At 50.9% G+C, this 21,708-nt stretch overlaps 1 protein-coding gene and 1 long non-coding RNA gene across 73 annotated transcripts in view, besides 1 other annotated feature; one reads left to right on the top strand and one right to left on the bottom strand.

Moving 5' to 3' along the window:
- Positions 1-21,130, top strand: part of SUN1 (Sad1 and UNC84 domain containing 1) — a 59,378-nt gene extending 38,248 nt beyond the window's left edge. For 55 of the 72 annotated variants that reach the window (NR_160283.1, NM_001367634.1, NM_001367651.1 and 52 more), the window contains 9 exons: positions 1,116-1,202; positions 2,554-2,597; positions 4,024-4,153; positions 6,324-6,578; positions 7,576-7,660; positions 12,148-12,263; positions 15,545-15,712; positions 18,666-18,758; positions 19,411-21,130. Coding sequence is in view for 69 of the 72 variants with exons in the window: in NM_001367634.1 (NP_001354563.1) it covers positions 1,116-1,202; positions 2,554-2,597; positions 4,024-4,153; positions 6,324-6,578; positions 7,576-7,660; positions 12,148-12,263; positions 15,545-15,712; positions 18,666-18,758; positions 19,411-19,527 (1,095 nt within the window). In the remaining 3 variants the exon portion in view is untranslated. Of the gene's footprint in view, positions 1-1,115; positions 1,203-1,300; positions 1,388-2,553; positions 2,598-3,047; positions 3,722-4,023; positions 4,154-6,293; positions 6,579-7,575; positions 7,661-12,147; positions 12,264-15,544; positions 15,713-18,665; positions 18,759-19,410 lie in introns of those variants that run through there. The other 17 variants (NM_001367703.1, NM_001367699.1, NM_001367682.1 and 14 more) reach the window with 6 other exon arrangements.
- On the bottom strand, positions 13,112-18,346 carry LOC124901568 (uncharacterized). The gene is made up of 2 exons (XR_007060177.1): positions 18,066-18,346; positions 13,112-13,889 (listed from the first exon to the last, which is right to left on the bottom strand). It is a non-coding gene; the product is annotated as an uncharacterized LOC124901568 (long non-coding RNA).
- Positions 19,757-19,816: a silencer, noted in NCBI's record as "silent region_17822". NCBI's record gives its function as "represses an Ori minimal core promoter by ATAC-STARR-seq in GM12878 lymphoblastoid cells {active_cell/tissue: GM12878}" and the evidence as "EXISTENCE:reporter gene assay evidence [ECO:0000049][PMID:35858748]".
- Positions 21,131-21,708: the final 578 nt, after the last annotated feature.

The following is a 21,708-nucleotide window of genomic DNA, read 5'->3' on the forward strand; positions in this document are numbered from 1 at the left end:
CCAGGAGCTGTGGGTTCCATAGCGCACATGGAAGTGGTGGGCGGGAGACTTGTGATAACCCCAAGCGGGAAGTCCAGCGGTCGTGGAGAACCGTGGTCTTTCCTGTCCTGTTCTCCAGATTGCCCTCTTAGTGGCAGGTCATGGCGCTCTGTCCCTGCAGACAGGACAGCCGCTGAGATGGACACAAACCGTCTCGTGTGGGTCCCAGACGCACTTCTCGGAGGCAGCCTGAGATGCTCCCACCCACTGCAGGGATCGCGTGGGGGGACCCAGGAACCTCTGCTTCAGAGGATGCCTTCTCTTGTGAAGAAAACAGCCGACAGCTGTTCAGAACCGTTGCGTGAAAACTGAACTGTGTGTGAATTGAATTGTGTGTGGCCTGAGCTCACTTTAGCACGGATTGAGCCTGTTCTTAAGCCGTCTTCCAGCACGTGCCTGTGGGTGTGATCATGGCGGCGACTGGAACGCAGAGCAGGGCTTCCCTCCGAGGCGGTGCGCGCAGCGTCAAACGCTCAGCCCCCGAGCCTCTAGCTCACGTTTGCGTCTGCACTGCCTAGTGGAGGATGCCGCTACTCACATATGGCCGTGTACATTTATGTTCATCAACACCACACAGAATTTTAAAATGCAGGTTCTCACTCGTATGGTCCCATCTCAGGTGCTCAGTAGCCATGAGTGGCTGGTGCTGCCCTGCTGGACAGCACAGATGCAGCACGTCCCACGATGGCCCGAGGGGCGCTGGATGGCGTGCTGGAGACGGCGAGGGCCTTGGGCTCTCACGTGGTCTGGTGTGTCAGTGCACTGGGCTCAGGCCTGTGGTCCCAGCTACTCAGGAGGCCGAGGCGGGAGGGTCACCTGAGCCCAGGAGGTGGAGACCCATGGCCCAGGCTGGAGTGCAACCTTAAAATAAATATATATATAAATAAAGACCTCTGGAGCCAGGGCTGAAATAAGGATATTGTTATGAAGCGGATTATTCCTTTAGGGTCCGTGCCACATTGCGACCACAGATTCTCTGATTGTCGGTATTCCGTGTAGAAACGCCTTGGCCTGATTTGCCAGGTTTTTGTTGCTTAACTTTCTCCATCATTTGTTCACTCCTTCTCTTTCCTAAGACTGACTTTATGGCCTTTCACCAAGAACATGAAGTGCGTATGTCACACTTGGAAGATATTCTGGGAAAACTGAGAGAAAAATCTGAGGTATTTATTTTTGACCTTACGCTTTTTTAAAATAAAAAGAAAATCAACTATGGCTAATATTTTAAAGCCCTTTGGTCATTTAATGTTCCTCTTTTTAGGCTATTTGCTGTTTGTTTTGTGTAAAATGGAAAGAAACACTTGTTCTCTGGTGTGGCAGCGGCTCTGGGGCTCTAACATTGAATCGGGTGTGTAACTCACGCATCCCCGTGTCTCTCGAGGGCACAGAGCAGGGCTGCACACGCCAGGAGGTGGTTCTGCCGATTCCAGGCGGCCTCTGGGTTCCCATCCAGCTCTTTCCGGCTCCAGGGTGCTTCCTCACTGCCACACACCCACCTTGCAGTGTCTTCAGAGGGGGGATAAAGGACCTGAACCTTTTGACAGACAGCACTAGCTTTGGGTGGGAAGGCCGGGACCATTTGTTGCTGGGAATGCCAGGGGAGGGACTGGGCCTCTGTGCTGCCCTCAGCCATGGGGAGTCGGGTCGGGCTCAGGTTCCGGCTCTTTGTGTCTCTGGTGCTTGACACAGAGCCTGGCGTGTCACATGTGCGTGTGTGTATTGAACTACCTTGAGAAGTGTGGTGAGCCTAAGGGTTGTATGTAGCACACCCTTTTGGGAATCTTGGGACCCACTCCTGGACCTTGGACCCTGTGAGATCAGGCAGGTTTACCTGGGAGGGAGAGGTGGGCTGAGAGGAGCAGGCAGAGGCGAGAATGTACCCGCCTGCGAGGGTCTGCGGGGCGCCTCCTCCTGTGTCCGCCTGAGAAGGTCTGTGGGGCGCCTCCTCCTCTGTCCACCCGAGAGGGTCTGCGGGGCGCCTCCTCCTCTGTCCGCCCAAGAGGGTCCGCGGGGCGCCTCCTCCTGTGTCCGCCCGAGAAGGTCTGTGGGGCGCCTCCTCCTCTGTCTGCCTGCCCTGGGCCGGGCTGTGGAGACCTCCATGGAGTGAGACTTGGGGCTGACGCTGGTGCTCAGCGTGGTGCTGCTGCGGATGGCACAGGCCAGCACGGCTCAGCTTCATGTGTGCCTCTGCCGTGTCCCTGTCCTTCACGTTTAGAACACACTCTGGAGGTGTGACAGGGAGCTGACTCCCAACCCGGGTGCTGGTTACAGGAGCTGCATGTTCTGAGCCCGCCAGGCCGTTCTCATGTGATTTGTGCTCCTTTCTGCGCACACGTAATGAAGGTTACTTTGAAATGTTCAATGAACACTTCCTACCTGCCACCCACAGGCAGATCTGGACTTTGAATTAAAGGGGGTATTCCAGATAAATCAATGGAGTTTTAAGTATGTGGTTTTATGAAAAGTTAATATATAACTTATGTGTTTCAGTAGACTATTTCTCATACTTTTTAGGCCATCCAGAAGGAACTAGAACAGACCAAGCAAAAAACAATCAGGTAGGAGGATTTGGAAAACATTCACTTTTGTCTTCGGTGTGTGTGTGTGGTTATGTGGAGCGGCAGCAGAGTGATGAATGGGGGACCCGGGGCCGGCCTCCCCCGAGGGTCACCTGAAGGCCCTGAGGTTCGTGCCGACAGACACTCCTGCTGGGCTGCGTGAGGACAGAGGGGTCCTGCGGGGCTTGCCACATCCCCCTCCACGCGGCGTGGACCTCTGTAGTTAGCACTCTCAAAGGTGCTGTCCGCGCCCCTGCTGTGACCCGGAGGGCTTCATCTCCAGGGTCCTTGCAGGGCCAACCTCAGGGAGTAGGTCAAGGCCCATGTTGCAGCCCGTGCCATGGTGGGTGTCAGGGTGGGCTCTGCACCGGGCCTCCGCTGGCACCGTTGGCATCTAGGTGGGCGGGGTTACAGCTCAGCCTCATCTCTGCTGCTGCTCCTGGACGGCAGTCCCTGGTGGACAGGACACCTGCTTCCAGAACCACCGGATTTGTGCTGGGCGTGTCACGGTGGGCCTCTCCGCGTGGCTGTCGGCCCTGCCGCCCTTGGAATCCATGGCACAGCCGGGTCCCTCTGCAGTTCCTGGGGAAGCTGGCATTTTGCTCCTCACTCAGGGCGGCTTTCTTCCACACGACCACTGATTTGCCAAGTCCCCTTAAGTGGGGTGCTTGCCTCTCACAGGTGTTCCCAACATGGCAGCTTTGTCTTTCTTACTTCATTTTATGCACGCAGCTCGTATTCCCCACAGCCCTCCCCGCCTGTAGATTCGGCAGCCTTGGCTTGGTTGTGGTTTCCCGAGGTCCCCGCGTCTGCACTCGGGAGGGTCCATCCTCTCCTGTGCCCCATGTTCCTCTTCTGTGAGGACAGGTGTGAGAGCTGGAGCACGGTTTTCTCTCCTTCCAAAGCTTTTATTTCAGTAAAAAAGTTGCTTTAACGTGTTAATATGTCAATCCTAAAGTGTTGATCTGGGAATGGGCTTTTTGAGATATGAATTGTTAGTATCTCAACAAGTATGTGTGCCTGTAAAGACCTCAAGTGATCTGCCTGCCTCAGCCCCAAACTACTGGGCTTACAAGCATGAGCCACCGCACCCAGTCCAGAAATAAAGTTTCTAAATGCTTAAATCGTTTTCAGAGAGAGCTCTCACTCGCCACTGAGAAACACTGCTAGCAGCACTTTTGTAGATAGCCTCCTTGTGCAGTGTGAACATTTGTATGTTACAGACATAAACTGATGCAGAAGACAACCTCTCTGGGAACTGTATTTGAAACTGGCATCCAGTTTCCACGTTAGTGTGGCACAGGATGACATCTGTACAGTTGTGACACCCAGGAGTGGGATCGGGTTCCCCTCAGCCTGTGTGTAGTGTGGGAAGCGTATAGGCTGGGAGGCTTGTGTGTGACCCATTCTCACTGTTGGATTCCAGTGCGGTTGGTGAGCAGCTCCTGCCCACAGTCGAGCACCTCCAGCTGGAGCTGGATCAGCTAAAGTCAGAGCTGTCCAGCTGGCGACACGTGAAGACCGGCTGTGAGACAGTGGATGCCGTACAAGAAAGAGTGAGCTTTCTGCATGTTTACTTTTTGTTTTATAATAGAAAGTAAAAGAAAACTTGAATTGATGACTTAGGTTTATTAGCTGTTTAATTTTTTATTTATTTATTTATTTTTGAAACCGAGTCTTGCTGTGGCACGCAGGCTAGACTGCAGTGGCGCGATCTCAGCTCACTGCAGGCCACCTCCACCTGCCGGGTTCAAGCGATTCTCCCACCTTAGCCTCCCGAGTAGCTGGGACTACAGGCATGTGCCACTATGCCCGGCTAATTTTTGTATTTTTAGTAGAGGTGGGGTTTCACCACAATGGTCAGGCTGGTCTCAAACTCCTGACTCCAAGTGATCCATCTGCTTCAGCTTCCCAAAGTCCTGGGATTACAGGCCTGAGCCACCCACCATGCCTGGCCTAAGTTGTTTAATTTCAACTCCCTTTAAAAACTTTTTTTTTTTTTACTATATGTGAACTTTTTAAATATTCCAAAATAACTAATTCAGTGCTCCGTAGACTTCCCCGTTCCAGCACCACTGTGCGTCAGCACCCACCATGCGTCTTCCCAGTCTCCTTGGTATGCGTCCTTGGTGTGCGTGCAGCCCAGGGCCAGCACTGACTTGGGGCTGGGTTGTTGCTGTGTACCTTTCATTAGATAGACCCACGCTGTACCTGCTGCTTGCTCTGTTTCGTGTCGAAACATATCATAGACATTGCTTCAAGTCCATCATCCTTAGGCAGAGGAGAAAATCTAGACATTTAGAGCTGCTTAAGAATGAAAACACAATCATTTGATTGGCAGAAGTCATCAAAGTCAGACAGTAGATTGGTAAAGGCATTTGCAATACGTGTGGTAAGATTATCTCTGATGTGCAGAGAGCCCCTATAATGGGTAGGAAGAGAAGCAGTGGTGACAGAGAAAGCATGCGATAGGCCGGGCGCCGCGGCTCACGCCTGTGATTCCAGCACTCTGGAGGCCGAGGTGGGCGGATCACCTGAGGTCAGAAGTTCAAGACCAGCCTGGCCAACATGGTGAAACCGCGTCTCTACTAAAAATACAAAATTAGCCGGGTGTGGTGGTGGGTGCCTGTAATCTCAGCTACTTGGTAGGCTGAGGCAGGACAATTGCTTGAACCCAGGAGGTGGAGGTTGCAGCGAGCCAAGATCGCGCCACTGCACTCCAGCCTGGGTGACAGAGCAAGACTCCGTCTCAAAAAAAAAAAAAAAAGAAAAAGAAAAAGCATGTCACCGTGCTATCAGGGAGCTGAGTCCTACTGATGGGACTTGCAGATTACAGCAGGCTCTCATCTTTAGTCTGCAGGCCCACGAGGACGATGGCTGCTATCAGCGCTGGCTGAGGCAGTGGGCTTTTCCCTGGCCAGGAGGACTGTCATCAACTACGGCCTCTGGGGGAAAATCTTAGGATATTAACCAGTGACAAATACATGCACTTTTTGAAATGAGCAACCATGCCCTTGGGAATCATCCTACAGAAATAAAGGCACCAGTACAGAGGCCACACAGGCAGGAGGGTCAGCGCTGGGAAGTGTGTGTGGGGAGGAGTGAGGGTAGAAAGCAGCTACGTGCCATTGTTAGGGGGTGTGGGCTAGAGAAGGGTGTGTCCACACGTGGAATGTGGGAGGGCAGCTGTGATGAACGGTCGTGTCCTAGGAGGCTTTGCCCTCTCCTTCACGGTCTGTTGTTACGAAGCAAGAAGAGAAAGGTATACACATATGTGTTTGTGTGCTTAGAAATAACATGGGGTGTATTTAGCTTACATAAAGCTATAATTTAGGTTCATTTATATGACTGTTTTCTCATCAGACCAAGTTTGTTGATGGCAGGGCCTCTCCGATGCACCTGTGCGCCTCGCTGCGGGGTGCCCGGTGGGTGCTTGCGGGATGGACACGCACCTCCAGAGGGTGTGGACATGCCCCACTATGTCCTTCAGCTCCTAGGATGTGGGTCGCACACATCCCACGAGCTCACCTATTTCTGTTCTTTTTAACATGGTCCTGCATTATTGGAGGGGTTATTAAATTTAATATGAAGGAAAACACTGTCACAATGACATTCTAGATTTTGAGAGGATATATAATTCTTCTGAGGTATCTAAGATAATGGACCCGAACAGTGGAAGTGATTTAGTTAAAATAGGACATTTGTGTCCGTCTGCTGTTTTACTAGGTGGACGTGCAAGTCAGAGAAATGGTGAAACTCCTGTTTTCCGAAGATCAGCAAGGCGGTTCTCTGGAACAGCTGCTGCAGAGGTTCTCATCACAGTTTGTGAGCAAAGGCGACTTGCAGACGATGCTGCGAGACCTGCAGCTGCAGATCCTGCGGAACGTCACCCACCACGTTTCCGTGACCAAGCAGCTCCCAACCTCAGAAGCCGTGGTGTCTGCTGTGAGCGAGGCGGGGGCGTCTGGAATAACAGAGGCGGTGAGTCGGCGAGTCGGCGGCAAGAGATGCTTACAGTCCATTCTGTGCTGAGACTGAAGACCTAGCTGTGAGGTGTGGATGTTGATGTCTTGTTTTAAGAGTGGTCTGGCTGGGGTGTGCTTAGCTGACGTAAGTGAGATGAGACGTGCCTGGGCAGTGCCGTGTGTGGAGGGGGCACCTGTGCGGTGAGCTTCAGCTCTTGCTGTCAGTGTCATTACTGAGCTGCTTCTTGGGAGTTCTTTATACTTTGTGAATCTTTTTGTCCCAAAGAGCCCATCTGCCTGTGTGGTGGCCACACCTTCTGCAGTTCCATGAAAGTCTCTCCGTGTATTAGTCTGTTCTCATGCTGGGCAATTTAGAAAGGATCATTGACTCACAGTTGCACATGGCTGCAGAAGCCTCACAGTCATGGGGGAAGGTGAACGAGGAGCAAAGTCGTGTCTTATATGGCAGCAGACAAGAGAGTGTATGCGAGGGAACTCCCTTTATAAAACCATCAGATCTCCCGAGACTATCACGAGAACAGCACGGGAGAAACCCCCACCATGACTCAGTTTCCCCCACCCGCTCCCTGCCACAATGTGGGAATTATGGGAGCTGCAATTCAAGATGAGATCTGGTTGGGACACAGCCAAGCCCTATCACTCAGTAATACCTAAATTCCCAGAATTTCCTGTGTTCCAGGCTTGAATGCTCATCCTTGCTTTATTCGTGTTTTATGGCATCTGGGGGATTTTTCTGGTTCAAAGATTGATGGTGGCCATGGCTGAGACCTGGGGGAAGAGGCCTCGTGCCCTCCCATCTCCATCTGATGGCCTTGGCAGTCGGGCGCAGGACTGGAGTGTGGAGTTGACTTCTGCCATGCCTAGGAACCCTACATAGTTTCCGTTGAGAAGATGCTCTAATGTAAGTGTCTGGTCCTCATCCATGGCACTAAAACCCACGTCTCTCCTCTCCTGTTCTGGTGTTTGGTCTTCCGTCCCTCGTGTCTGTCCAGCAAGCACGTGCCATCGTGAACAGCGCCTTGAAGCTGTATTCCCAAGATAAGACCGGGATGGTGGACTTTGCTCTGGAATCTGGTGGTGAGTAAATAGACGTTCTGATTACTAAGTTAGATGATCACCTGTTAGCAGGGGTGTGCACTTGAGAGGCTGTTGCCTACCCCACTTCCAGCAGTAAGGACTCCTAACTTTTAAACATCTGAGAAAGGGAGCATGATTCTGGGCATGACCCTGGTGTTCTTTCTTCCTGGCCAGTTGTGTTTGGGGGGCACAAGTTCTCCCCTGGAAGGGCTGGGGGTGCATGCTTGTGGCTAAGTCGAGGTTCACAGCACAGAAAGTGTGCTCGACTGTTCACTCTCTCCTGTGCTGTGATCGGGGATTGTTCAGTGCCTTCAGGAGAGACTCAGCAGTGACCACACAGCTCTCCCCGAGGGCGTCCACTCAGCAGCAAGACAGACCGAGAGCAGAAGCAGGCTAAGCAGATGGAATGATGGGGGCTGTGTTTCAGGACCTCAGAGAAATACAAAGGCCGCTGTGGTCGGGGTTTGGGAAACCCTGCAGGGGCACAAGCCTAGGCCAGACCTCTTGGGGCAGATGCATTTGAAAATCAGCATCGCAGCTGAGGAAAGTCCTGGGGTCCACACAGCCCACTCCGTGGTGAGTGGGGCAGCACACCTGGATCAGACACGAGCATTTCCGAAAGAACCGTGAGAGGAGAGCTAGACCTGCTTCACGTCCGCTCAGGGAAGGTGTGCACCACACCTGTTATGGAAATCAAAATCTTGGTTTTCTGAATTTTTTAAATGTAGGATTTGCAAATAGGGGCTGGGGGACTCACATCACTCAGAAGATGCTGTGTTCAGTACACGTTAGTGTGTGGAGGGGCTGGAGAGCCTGCAGGGCAGGAGAGATTTCTAAAACCCACGATGATGTAGGGCTGGGTAGGGACTCTGCCATGTGGTTGCGCAGGATCCTAATCCCATTAGTACGGGAGCAGCTGGGTTTGATTTCAGTCATTTGCCACCCTCTGAGTTCTTTCTGTGGTGGCTGCAGACTGAAGTCGTGATAAAAATGGCTGGATTCTTCCAAATGGTAGACAGACATCAACAAGGCTACTGGTGTGATCGGTGTGTGTTTGTTTAAAATGACCTTTTTAGAATATTAAGTGCTTTTAGTTATATATTTTGAAATTCAGTGATTTAGGAAGAAATTATTTTCCATTAAGAGGCATCAATTGACATGAACCATACAGTTTGGGCCGAGAGATGTCATTTATTCTTAAAACCCTAGTGAATCCTTACAGGTTTGTGTGTACCTCAGAACACTGGTAATCCTGATGAGGCTGCACCGAAGGTTCCATTATTGAAGAAAACATTGATTGACACTTTGTGAGTTAGTTAAAAAGATAATTCAGTGGTTTAGAAATTCACATCTCAATCAGCTACATTAAAATCCCATGGTTTTCCTGTTTAAAACATCAGTTTCTGGCCGGGCGCAGTGGCTCACGTCTGTAATCCCAGCACTTTAGGAGACCAAGGCAGGCAGATCACAAGGTCAGGAGATCCTGGCTGACAGGGTGAAACCCCTTCTCTACTAAAAATACAAAAAATTAGCTGGGTGTGGTGGTGGGCGCCTGTAGTCCCAGCTACTTGGGAGGCTAAGGCAGGAGAATGGCGTGAACCCGGGAGGTGGAGCTTGCAGTAAGCTGAGATCGTGCCACTGCACTCCAGCCTGGGTGACAGAGCGAGACTCCATCTCAAAAACAAAAAACAAAAAAACCCCATCAGTTTCTGCCTCTCCTGCCTGTGGTTCACCAGTGCCAGGGCCCCTGGAGTGCCGCCCTCCCGAGCTCGCCCTTGCTGCCCAGCATTCACCAGCGCCAGGGCCCCTGGAGTGCCGCCCTCCCGAGCTCGCCCTTGCTGCCCGGCGTTCACCAGCGCCAGGGCCCCTGGAGTGCCGCCCTCCCGAGCTCGCCCTTGCTGCCCGGGGTTGTGTGCTGCCTTCACGGCCAACTTGGTTTTTGTTTCTTGGGGGTTTTTTGTCCTGCTTTGACAACAACATTCTGCCTGTCCTGTATCCTACTAAGGGCCAAACTGGACTTGTTTTTTATGCTTCCTCTTATTATTGAGATGTAATTCACACAAAAATTCAGCGTTTTTAAATGTACAGCTCCGTGGCTATTAACATATTCGCGGTGCAGCCATCACCACTGCCTTACCCCAGAATCTTTCTCACCCCAGCTAGAAACCCTGTGCCGCAAGTAGCCATCCTCACAGCCCCAGCCTTTTCACTGTAATTGGTAATTATTGTGACGGAAGGTCTGCTCTTCAGGGCCTGAGAGCTCACCTGCTGGGTGACACCAGGCTCAATCGGATGCTTTATTCTTCATTGAGAAAAACCAACAAAAAGTTCATTTGGAGTAGCTCTCTCTCTAGCAGTAGTGGGGGAAGGCCAGTATTTTAAGAATTTCCCAGTTTCAGTAAGTAAAAATTGTGTGTCCTAAAGCAGTTGTAAACTCTTAACACTCAATTTGAGAAAGTACAATTAATTAAGAAAAGGACTAGTCTAAAAGTAGGAGGTTCTTTGTATATGTAAAAACTTGAGAAGTTTAAAAACACTTTTTTTATCCGAAAATTTTATTAGCTGGTATTAGATAATATCCTTCATCATTTTCAAACTTATGTATTTTAATGGCTTAACTAATTATCTATTTTTTAATTTTTGTGGGTACATAGGTGCACATATTTATGGGGTATATATTTTGATACAGGCATGCAATGTGAAGTAAGTACATCATGAAAAATGGGGTACCCATCCCCTCCAGCATTTATCCTTTGAGTTACAAACAAAAATACTCTAAGTTATTTAAAAATGCACAATTAGGCCAGGTGTAGTGGCTCATGCCTGTAATCCCAGCACTCTGGGAGGCTGAGGCGGGCAGATCACCTGAGATTGGGAGTTTGAGACCACCCTGACCAACATAGAGAAACCCCGTCTCTACTAAAAAAATGCAAAAAAAAATTATCCGGGTGTGGTGGCACATGCCTGTAATCCCAGCTACTCGGGAGGCTGAGGCAGGAGAATCGCTTGAACCTGGGTGGTGGAGGTTGTGTTGAGCCGAGATCGTACCATTGCACTCCAGCCTGGGCAACAAGAGCAAAACTTTATCTCAAAAAAAAAAAAAAAAAAAGCACAATGAAGTTCACTACAGTCACCCTGTTCTGCTATCATATGGTAGGTCTTATGCATTCATTTTTCGTAGAGACAAAGAGTCTCGCTCTGTCGCCCAGGCTGGAGTGCAATGGCGCAATCTCGGCTCGCCGCAACCTCTGCCTCCCGGCTTCAAGCAATTCTCCTGCCTCAGCCTCTCGAGTAGCTGGGACTACAGGGGCGCGTCACCACGCCCGGCTAATTTTCATATTTTTAGTAGAGATGGAGTTTCACCATGTTGGTCAGGCTGGTCTGGAACTCCTGACCTCAGGTGATCCACCCACCTCGGCCTCCCAAAGTACTGGGATTACAGGCGTGAGCCACTGCACTCTGCCTCATTCTTTTTTTCTCTGGACCCATTAACCATCCCCACTTTCCCTGAGCCCCAACTCCCCTTCCCAGTCTCTGGTACCACCCTTCTACCCTCTCTGTCCATGAATTCAGTGGTTTTGGTTTTTAAATAAGTGAGAACATGGGATGTTTGTCTTTCTATGCCTGGCTTATTTCACTTAACATAGTGACCTCTGGTAGCCATCCATGTTTTTGCAAATGACAGGCTCGCTGTATCACCCAGGCTGGAGTCAGTGACGTGATCTCGGCTCACTACCGGTTCAAGCGATTCTCCTGCCTCAGCCTCCCAAGTAGCTGGGATTACAGGTGCCCGCCACCATGCCCGGCTAATTTGTGTATTTTTAGCAGAGATGGGGTTTTGCTATGGGGTTGGCCAGGCTGGTCTGGAACTCCTGACCTCAAGTGATCCACCGGCCTCGGCCTCCCAAAGTGCTGGGATTACAAGCGTGAGCCACTGCACCTGGCCTGCTCTCACTGTTTTTTATGGCTGAATAGTACTCCATTGTGTATATGTACGCCATTTTCCTCATGCATTCATCTGTTAATGGACATTGAGGTTGCTTCCAGATGTGAGCTACTGTAAACAAGCAGTGCTGCACAAAGATAGAAGTGCAGGTCTGCCTTCAGTAGACTGCCTTCCTTTCTGTCGGGGGTGCACCCAGGAGTGGCATTGCCAGATCATATGGTAGCTCTGTTTTTAGTTTTCTTGGGGACCTCCAAACCACTCTCCATGGTGGTTGTACTAATTTCCATCCCACCAACAGTGCGTGAGGGTTCCCTTTCTCCACATCCTCGCCAGCATTTGTTACTGCCTGTCTTTAGGATAGAAGCCATTGTAACTGGGGGGAGAAGAGATCTAATTGTAGTTTTTACTTGCATTTCTCTGAATATCAGTGATGTCGAGCACTTTTCTTGGAAACATTTTAATAAATCCTGAAGTGGTGCAGTACTATTGCTTCCAAAATGGTGGAACTGGACACTGAGACCGATCTGAACTTTGCTTTAAGGTGGCAGCATCTTGAGTACTCGCTGTTCTGAAACTTACGAAACCAAAACGGCGCTGATGAGTCTGTTTGGGATCCCGCTGTGGTACTTCTCGCAGTCCCCGCGCGTGGTCATCCAGGTGAGTGGCCGCCGGTGGCCGGAGCTGCTCCTCTTCAGCATGGACTCGGTTAGTGTTCACGGGTCGTAGGTCCACAGCTCCATGGAACTTCGTAAGATGAACACGTCTGTGGAACTGGTACCACAAGAAGTGGCAGCGTTCCCACACCGAGGAGTCCCCGGTGTCCCCGTGTAGCCTCCACGCTACACATCTGTTGGCTTGGGTTTAGCGTCACACAGATGGGACCGTGTGGCACATGCTGGTCCTGTCAGCCTTCCTCCCTCCCTCTTTTGGGTGTTCCAGCCATGGTGTTGTGAGTGGCAGCTGTTCCTGCTCGGGCCGTGGGTCTTCCGTCACGAGAGTGGCAGCTGTGCTTTCTCAGGTGTTGAGAGACAATAGGTGGGGAGGCCCTAGCTGTCTGGCCTCGGCATGGGCCTTCACCCCCCCATCCCTCCGGCCTTTGCCCCCCGTCTCCCCGGGCCTTCTCCCCCACTGTCTCCCCACCATCTCCCCGTACCTTCGCCCCCACTGTCTCCCCACCATCTCCCCGGGCCTTCGCCCCCACTGTCTCCCCACCATCTCCCCGGGCCTTCGCCCCCACTGTCTCCCCACCATCTCCCCGGGCCTTCGCCCCCACTGTCTCCCCACCATCTCCGTGGGCCTTCGCCCCCCCCCCGCCCCCCGTCCCACCGGGCCTTCACCCCCACCGTCTCCCTGGGCCTTCGCCCACCCCTCCCCGCCCCCTTCTCCCTGGGCCTTCAGTCCCCGTCTCCTGGACCTTCTGCTGTGGTCCTCGTTGTGCACTGCTTTTCTGTGGCTTCATTTAATACTTTATACTATTGGCTGTACAAGTTTAAAGCACTAAAGGATGGAGAATTTAAATAGATTTATTTTGCCTCAATACTCAAATCCTGCCTCATATTCATGACATGTTTTGAAGAAAAATCCAATAATTACTTGTATGTGGAACAACGCCAAGACGGCTTTCACTAGGAAAACACAAGTCCAGCCTGAAAGAATTCATGAAGTGCCTGTGACCTGACGTTGAGGATCACATGGGACTGTCGTCATCATGATCTCGTCCCCAGGCTGCCCCGGCGGAACTGTCCGGTCAGCGTGACTGTTTGGCTTTCTGCAGCCATCAGCACCGCACGGGCTCACCAGCACTTTGCTCCTGAGGGCACAGCCGGAGCCCCTCCTCACTGCAGGCAGACGCAGCCTCTGCTGCCACGAAGCCACACAGCCCTGCGCTTGGCATGCGGCTGCTTTTTCTGTGCCAGCTCACGAGTGCCACCGGCACAGTCTGTGTCACCTGGCAGGGCCAACAGGTTTTCTGCACAGGGTTGCCACAGTGTTCCTGCATGGCGGTCCTGCTCCTGGCCATAACATCCTTCTCACAGGGCTTGGTGATCCTGACCCTCCCAGAGGAGCTCACTGGCCTGCAGTGTTGTCAGTGTGATGCTGGTGGGGATCTGGTGGTGAGAGCACAGCATGGCTTCAGTGTCTTAGAGACTGAGGGAGAGGGTGGAGCTCAGCCCTCCCCTGGCACAGTTCTCTCTCAGAAGGAAGTGCACGGTCACTGGAGGGGCAGACTTCATATAAATCACCAATCACTGTGCTGGGACTGGACTGAGAAACTGTCGGCTCCTGGGAAGTAAAGAGAATGTTTACAGAACATAGGGATAGCAGATATAAGGGACCAGCTCCCACCCCAGGACCAAGGTGGAGCCTCGCCAGAGCGTCTCTCCAGACCGTTGGGCGGAGGGTGTGGCCCAGCTCACTGAACGTCAGGGAGGTTGCTGTGGTGCCACACGGTGGAATGTACCAGCATGCTGGGAAAGCCTGTGCACAACAGGGTGACTCACCGGGCGTTTGGCTGCAACACCCCCAAGAGGGGTACCAGGGAACCTCAGTGTCCACCCAGCACCCTGAGCTGGCAAGGGCTAGGCTTTGGGCTGGCAAAGGGAGAGCAGTTCAAGGCTCAGCTCCGTCTTCACAGCGCGGTAGAAGACGGCTTGGGGGCTGAGGGGCAGTAAATCCACAGCTGGCATAGAGGAGAAGCCGGCGGGTACGTGCCCATCGTTCACCATCTCTTCTAAACACGAATGAAATGCGTGTGTCGTCCTCACACACTGAAGGCAGGCTGCGTGCACGGTCTCCTCCTCCGTTGCGCACAGCAACGTGGCTGCCTGGGCGCAGCGTCTGCAACTTGTCAGTCAGTCCCTGTGTGTGCCTGGGGACGCTGTGCTGCGAACAGTGCTCTCCGGTCACATCTGCCCTGCACCTGGAGGTGGGGGTGCGATCGCAGGCCAGAGGCAGATGTGTGCGCAGCAGGCCGACCTTGCCAGGCTGTGCTTCTGGGGCTGCAGGCTGCACCGTGGCCGGGTTAGGTTAGAACGTGCATTTTCCCAGGGCATCAGCAGCTGACCCTTGATGTTGGTCGGATGGGGGGGCAGTGCTGGTTCCCTGTGGTGTTGGTCGGATGGGGGGGCAGTGCTGGTTCCCTGTGGTGTTGGTCGGATTGGGGGGCAGTGCTGGTTCCCTGTGGTGTTGGTCGGATGGGGGGGCAGTGCTGGTTCTCTGTGGTGTTGGTCGGATGGGGGGACAGTGCTGGTTCCCTGTGGTGTTGGTCGGATTGGGGGGCAGTGCTGGTTCCCTGTGGTGTTGGTCGGATTGGGGGGCAGTGCTGGTTCCCTGTGGTGTTGGTCGGATGGGGGGGCAGTGCTGGTTCCCTGTGGTGTTGGTCGGATCGGGGGGCAGTGCTGGTTCTCTGTGGTGTTGGTCGGATGGGGGGGCAGTGCTGGTTCCCTGTGGTGTTGGTCGGATGGGGGGGCAGTGCTGGTTCCCTGTGGTGTTGGTCGGATGGGGGGACAGTGCTGGTTCCCTGTGGTGTTGGTCGGATGGGGGGACAGTGCTGGTTCCCTGTGGTGTTGGTCGGATGGGGGGACAGTGCTGGTTCCCTGTGGTGGTGTCCCTTCTTGCTGTGCAGGGTGGAGGGCATCTTGCCACGACCAAGGACCATTGACCTTCACCTTTTCTTTGAAGTATGTTGTATGTCTCACCCATTTTTCTTTAAGGTTCTGGTCGTTTTAACTTTTATACAACATATGGGTTGGAGATAGTGGCCCTCTGAGGAGTGAATTACAAATGCCTTTCCCAGCTTATCTTCGGATTTTGCTCATGGCAGTTTCTACCATGTAAAACTTATTTTTATCTCAGTATAATCAGTCTTTCCTCTTCCTGCTGCTAAGTGGGTAAGAGCATGCTCACACTCTGAGTCCTCATGTTTTTCCTTTCCCCAGCCTGACATTTACCCCGGTAACTGCTGGGCATTTAAAGGCTCCCAGGGGTACCTGGTGGTGAGGCTCTCCATGATGATCCACCCAGCCGCCTTCACTCTGGAGCACATCCCTAAGACGCTGTCGCCAACAGGCAACATCAGCAGCGCCCCCAAGGACTTCGCCGTCTATGTGAGTGCCCTTGGCCGACCCTCCTCCTCCCACACCTTCCTGGGAGTTCCCACAGATGAAAGCAAGTGACGTGAGCGCACTGGGGACGGCTGCCTCCCGCTGCCCCTCCGCCCTCTCTCAGATTCGGTGTTGAGGGGAACATTCCAGTGCTTTTCTAGGGAGGGTAACTTAGAAATGGCATATTACCTGATGTCCATTTTACATACAGTACTACACTGACCAAGGTAGACACGCCTAAGAATTTTGCTCCTCACCGCCCTTGCCAAGTTGCCTGTGAAAGGTGTTCTGGCAACTGGATGACGTGGGAGCAGCTGGCTGACAAGAGGACTGCCATGATCCCAGCCCCAGAGAAACCCACCATTCATACTGTGGTATTTTCTGGTTTCTTCACCATGCCTTTAAAAAATACAGTTGAGCCTGGAATCCCAGCACTGTGGGAGGCCAAGGTGGGCGGATCACCTGAGGTCGGGAGTTCGAGACCAGCCTGGCCAAGGTGGTGAAACCGCGTCTCTACTAAAATATACAAAAAAAAAAAAAAAATGAGCCAGGCTTGGTGGCGCACGCCTGTAATCCCAGATACCTGGGAGGCTGAGGCAGAAGAATCACTTGATATAGGAGGTGGAGGTTGCCGTGAGCTGAGATCCTGCCACTGCACTCCAGCCTGGGCAACAGAGTGAGACCCTGTCTTTAAAAAAAAAAAAAAAAAATTACAGTTGAGACAGTAGTGTTTATGAAGCTTTAAAATTTTCATAAAGTATTTCATAAAAGTATTTTTGCCTTTAAAGAAAATTGGCCAGGCGCTGTGGCTCATGCCTGTAATCCTAGCACTTTGGGAGGCTGAGGTGGGTGGATCACCTGAGGTTAGGAGTTCGAGACCAGCCTGGCCAAAATGGTGAAACCCTGTCTCTACTAAAAATACAAAAGTTAGCCAGGCTTATGCGTGCCTGTCATCCCAGCTATTCGGGAGGCTGAGGCATGAAGATCACTTGAACCCAGGAGGCGGTGGTCACAGTGAGCCAAGATTGAGCCCCTGCACTCCAGCCTGGGCAACAGAGCAAGACTCTGTCTCAAAAAAGGAAAGGAAAAAAAAGAGGAAATTGTATTATGAGCATTTTTCCATGGCAGGTACACTCTTTGTGGCCATCCTCAAGTAGCATCAATCCCCCGTGTTTATCTGGCCGCTTCTCCTCTCACTGAGTATTTCTTTCCCTTTTCCGCTTCCCTGTGTGAGCGTCGCTCCTTTACACCTTCACTAATTAATTCCCGTGGACGAGACACTCACAGGTGGCGTCACGGTTTCAGAGGGCAGCAGCATGTTGTACGGCCGAGTCGGTGCACTGTGTTACTAGCATTTTCTTTTTATTTTCTTTCTTTTTTTTTTTTTTTTTTTTGAGACGGAGTCTTGGTCTCGTTGCCCAGGCTGGAATGCAGTGGCGCGATTTCAGCTCACCACAATCTCCGCCTCCCGGGTTCAAGCGATTCTCCTGCCTCAGCCTCCCAAGTAGCTGGGATTACAGGCGCGTGCCACCACGCCCGGCTAATTTTTGTGTTTTTAGTAGAGACGGGGTTTCTCCTTGTTGCTCTGGCTGGTCTCGAACTCCCGACCTCAGCCCTCTTTTTAAAATTTCTGCTAACTTGATAGGTGAAAAACAGTAGTTTATTTAATCTGCATTTCTCTGTATTTCAGATGCATGCTGCCTTTTTTGTAAATTCTAGTCTTCTTTTTGTTCATTTACCTTTTGGGATCTTAGTTTCCTTATGAATATTTGAGCTTTTTAGTATGTAAATAATAATCATGTGTCATTCTGTTACAGACATACTTTCCATTGTTGCTCTTAATTTTGTATTAACACTCAGATGCCCTGAGTCTTTCAGAGGTTTTTATTTTTTGAGACCGAGTCTCGCTCTGTCACCAGGCTGGAGTGCAGTGGCACGATCTCAGTTCACTGCAATGTCCGCCTCCCGGGTTCAAGCGATTCTCCTGCCTCAGCCTCCCGAGTAGCCGGGACCACAGGCGCCCGCCACCACACCTGGCTAACTTTTTGTAGTTTTTAGTAGAGACAGGGTTTCACCATGTTGGCCAGGATGGTCTCAATCTCCTGACCTTCTGATCCACCCACCTCGGCCTCCCAAAGTGCTGGGATTACAGGCGTGAGCCACTGTGCCCCACCCCGTATTTTTATTTCACTGGTGATTATCAGAGGCAGTAGTTACATCTACTCACTCGCTGGAACTTCTTCCATAGCATTTCTTATCCCTAGAAGTCCTTTCCCATTTCAAAATAGATATGCAAATAGTCCCTTGTGTCTTCTGCTAGTTCTCTGACTCGGATAAAAGATAAGATAGAGCTTACTGTTCTAATAAGTGCACAGTCCAGTGGCGTTAAGCCCAGTCACACTGTTGTGCAGCCATCACCACTGTCATCTCCAGAGCTGCTCCATCTTCTAGTCTGAATCTCTGTCCCCATTGAACCCTGACTCCCCACACCCCAGCTTAGGCCGGCACTCGCTCCCTTCTGCCTGCTCTCTTCCCAAAGTCGGTCTTCTGTGGCCCCTCCTCCTGCTGGTGAGGCCTCATCTCCCCGGGCTCAGCAGGTGCTCCAGAGCTTCCACTGTGAGTGCTGAGGGCAGCAGCTGAGCATGGTCTGTGTGTCCGGCGGGGTCACTTCTCTGCCACTCATTAGTGTGTCCTGTTTTGGCCTCAGTTTTCCTAATGTGTATAACGGGGAATCGTGCTGACCTCAGGACATGTCGTGGGTTACATGAAGCCCTCAACAAAACACACCCCTTCCTTCCAGGGAAGGCCTCGTGACTGCCATGGAGGAATGACCTTCTCTTACTGATGTGGAGGGAAACGGTCCTGTTTGCTTAGTGCTGGCTGTGGAAGGGAACGGTCCTCTCTGCTCAGTGTTATTTTTCCATTCGTTCATAATTGTGTATGGTCTTGTTTTCAGGGATTAGAAAATGAGTATCAGGAAGAAGGGCAGCTTCTGGGACAGTTCACGTATGATCAGGATGGGGAGTCGCTCCAGATGTTCCAGGCCCTGGTAAGAACTGGGACTGGCACTGCCTGGGGTCTCTGAGTCCCACAACTTCTCGTGACAGCAGGGCCCAGCTGGCATCAACAGACTGGAAAGCAGCGTGAGGACCATCCTTTGAAAAATGTTAACCTGCGCTTCCTGGCTCTGCGTTAATGAGCCTTTCCATGGCTAATAGCGTTCTCAGTTTTACCCGTGCTTCATGCCCTGTGATACATTACTTAGAAGGATCATATTTAAAAAGTTAACTTCCAGCTGGGCGTGGTGGCTCACGTCTGTAATCCCAGCACTTTGCGGGGCCGAGGCAGGCGGATCACGAGGTCAGGAGTTCGAGACCAGCCTGACCAACATGGCGAAACCCGGTCTCTACTAAAAATACAAAAATGAGCTGGGCGTGGTGGCGCACGCCTGTAATCCCAGCTACTCAGGAGGCTGAGGCAGGAGAATCGCTTGAGCCCGGGAGGTGGAGCTTGCAGTGAGCTGAGATCGTGCCATTGTACTCCAGCCTGGGTGACAGGGCAAGACTCTGTCTCAACAACAACAACAAAAGGTTAATTTCCAACTCAGCTGCTTCCTGTCAGACGTCATATTTGGGGAAGTGATTGGACTTGGGGTTATTAATATGAAATACATGTGTGTGTTTTTCCCACCTTGATTTCAGAAAAGACCCGACGACACAGCTTTCCAAATAGTGGAACTTCGGATTTTTTCTAACTGGGGCCATCCTGAGTATACCTGTCTGTATCGGTTCAGAGTTCATGGCGAACCTGTCAAGTGAAGACACTACTCATTATTTTTGTACATTTTTGTATATACTGGGACAGCGTGAAACACTGGAATCCTTCATGGACGAGGGCATATACAATGATGGGACAGTGCCACACTCCTTCAATAAACGTGGCTGCTGGCCAGAGGACGTGAGCGTGTGACGGGCGCCTTGGCGCCACCTGTTGGGTGCTCACTGCCTCTGCAGGTGCAGAGGGGTCAGCAGCAGGAGAAGCGTGTTGAACACGTGGCTCTCAGACACTCCTTGTTTTTAACGGGAAGCTCTTTGCATTTGCATTTCCTCAACAAAGGAGCAAAGCAGAGGAAGCTGAGAGTCTGGCGTGTTCTTGACGCTTTGGTCTTCAGCCTTGCACTGGCTCTTCTAAAGGACTTTTGGAGGGCAGATAATTTCATCTGTTAAATCCAACACACATTTCTTTCAGGGAAAAACAATGTCACCAAATTTTCAGAGTTCTAAACTCCTTTCCTTCAAGCCGGAATTTTCCTTTTTTCAGCACCAGTAGGTACTAAGTCTCCAGATGGGGAAATAACTAAAATGTGTTTTTCTGCTTTGTTCGCTCTTACTTCTGAGGAAGGTTTCCAGTCAGGACTCGCTGTACCAATATCCATGGAGGAATATGGGAGCGTTTCGCTCTCCTTGTAGGCTGAAGTCAGTCTGACTTGAAGGGGCCTGGTTTGGATCTAAGCAAACACCCAGATGGGGTTCTCTGGTCTCAGCAAGGCTTTTCCTGTTGGGAGTCACAGTAAACAGAAACCCAAAAATCTCATCTTGGGTGTTTTCAGGGCTTGTTTTGAGTTTTGCTGAATAGGGAGCGCAAGACGCCCTGAGCCTCCCTCTCACTGGTGGTGATAAGAGGAGCCGTCTGGTGTGTCAGGGTCACGAACCCGTTACATTTCAGGACGATCCTTTTTCCTTCAGCAGCATTTCTTACTGGCTGTGGCTGGAATCTGCCTTTTATCACAGCTGTCACCATTCTCACGTGATTCTTGTGAGACTCTTTTTGGTTATAATTACTATTTAATATTTAGACTATTTTACTGAGCAGACTTTATAAATGAGATATCTACAAGGCACTTAAAGTGTTACAGATGTTTTACCTTAAGAATTATTTAAGTTGTGTTGGGTTAAGACAGTTTTCAGTGTACCGTAAATGTTGTGTTTTCAGAAAAAGACAAAACGATGGTGCTGACTGGTTTTCTGTATATTGCACAACAGTCCTCAAATACACTGATGTATGAAACTATTCATACATCAAGCAGCATTTTTTTCACTCTCCTTAGAATTGGAACTATGCAGTTAAGGCAGATAAAATGTACAGATGTTTCATATATTACAGGTTACATATATAAATCAAAATTTCCTATATAAAACTGATTTGGGATTTGGGGTGGAAATATTTTGAATATTAATTTATTTTTAAAGATGCAAGATAGGACTTTGTGCAATGTATTTTTGTAAATGCTTTTCAAAATATCTGTCTTTGGTAGTGCTTCTGCTGCTGCCACCAAATTGATAAGATGCTATTAAGAGGTTTAAATAAAGAGTTTTAATTTTTAAAAGGGCATGGGATATAAACAGTCTATTTCTTTTCTCAGTTTGTCTGTTTCTGCCCCTGGGATGTGGGAGGGACTGGGTTTGCTGGTTCTTGTTGGCAAGCTCTGTAGCACAGCCTTTGAATGGTAACCTGTCCTCCAAGGCCTTGAGGCCTCAAGTGTGCCAGGCACCTCTTTCTGTAGGGCACCATTTCCACTTGGAAAACGGACTGAATTACAAGTTGCTTGATGGGCAGAACATTAGGAAAACTGATGCCTTTCCTCAGGACACAGTTTTCATCGCTGCTTCTGTAGCTGAAGGCAGGTGCTGGCACCAGGTCACAGACGATAGCACACACACCACACTATTTTGCACCTGGCTTTTCCCCAGTTACCAAGTGTGTCCCGTAAGAACCTTTTTTTTTTTAACAGCTGTTTTTGTCCATTGTATGCACGGCTGGATCATGTTGATTCAAGCAGGGCCCAGCTTAAAGGCCTTTGTTTCTTCTTTTTTATTATAAACAATGCTAACCTGTGAGAGTGGGCTGACCCTGTAAATCCAACGGAGGAGTCTTCGGACCGAACGGCGAACCGCCTTCAAACCCCAATTCTTACAGCCAAGCCGTTCCCAACCCTGCAC

This window comes from Homo sapiens, chromosome 7 (genome assembly GCF_000001405.40).
Source record: "Homo sapiens chromosome 7, GRCh38.p14 Primary Assembly".
In the NCBI taxonomy this organism is placed as follows: Eukaryota; Metazoa; Chordata; class Mammalia; order Primates; family Hominidae; genus Homo; species Homo sapiens.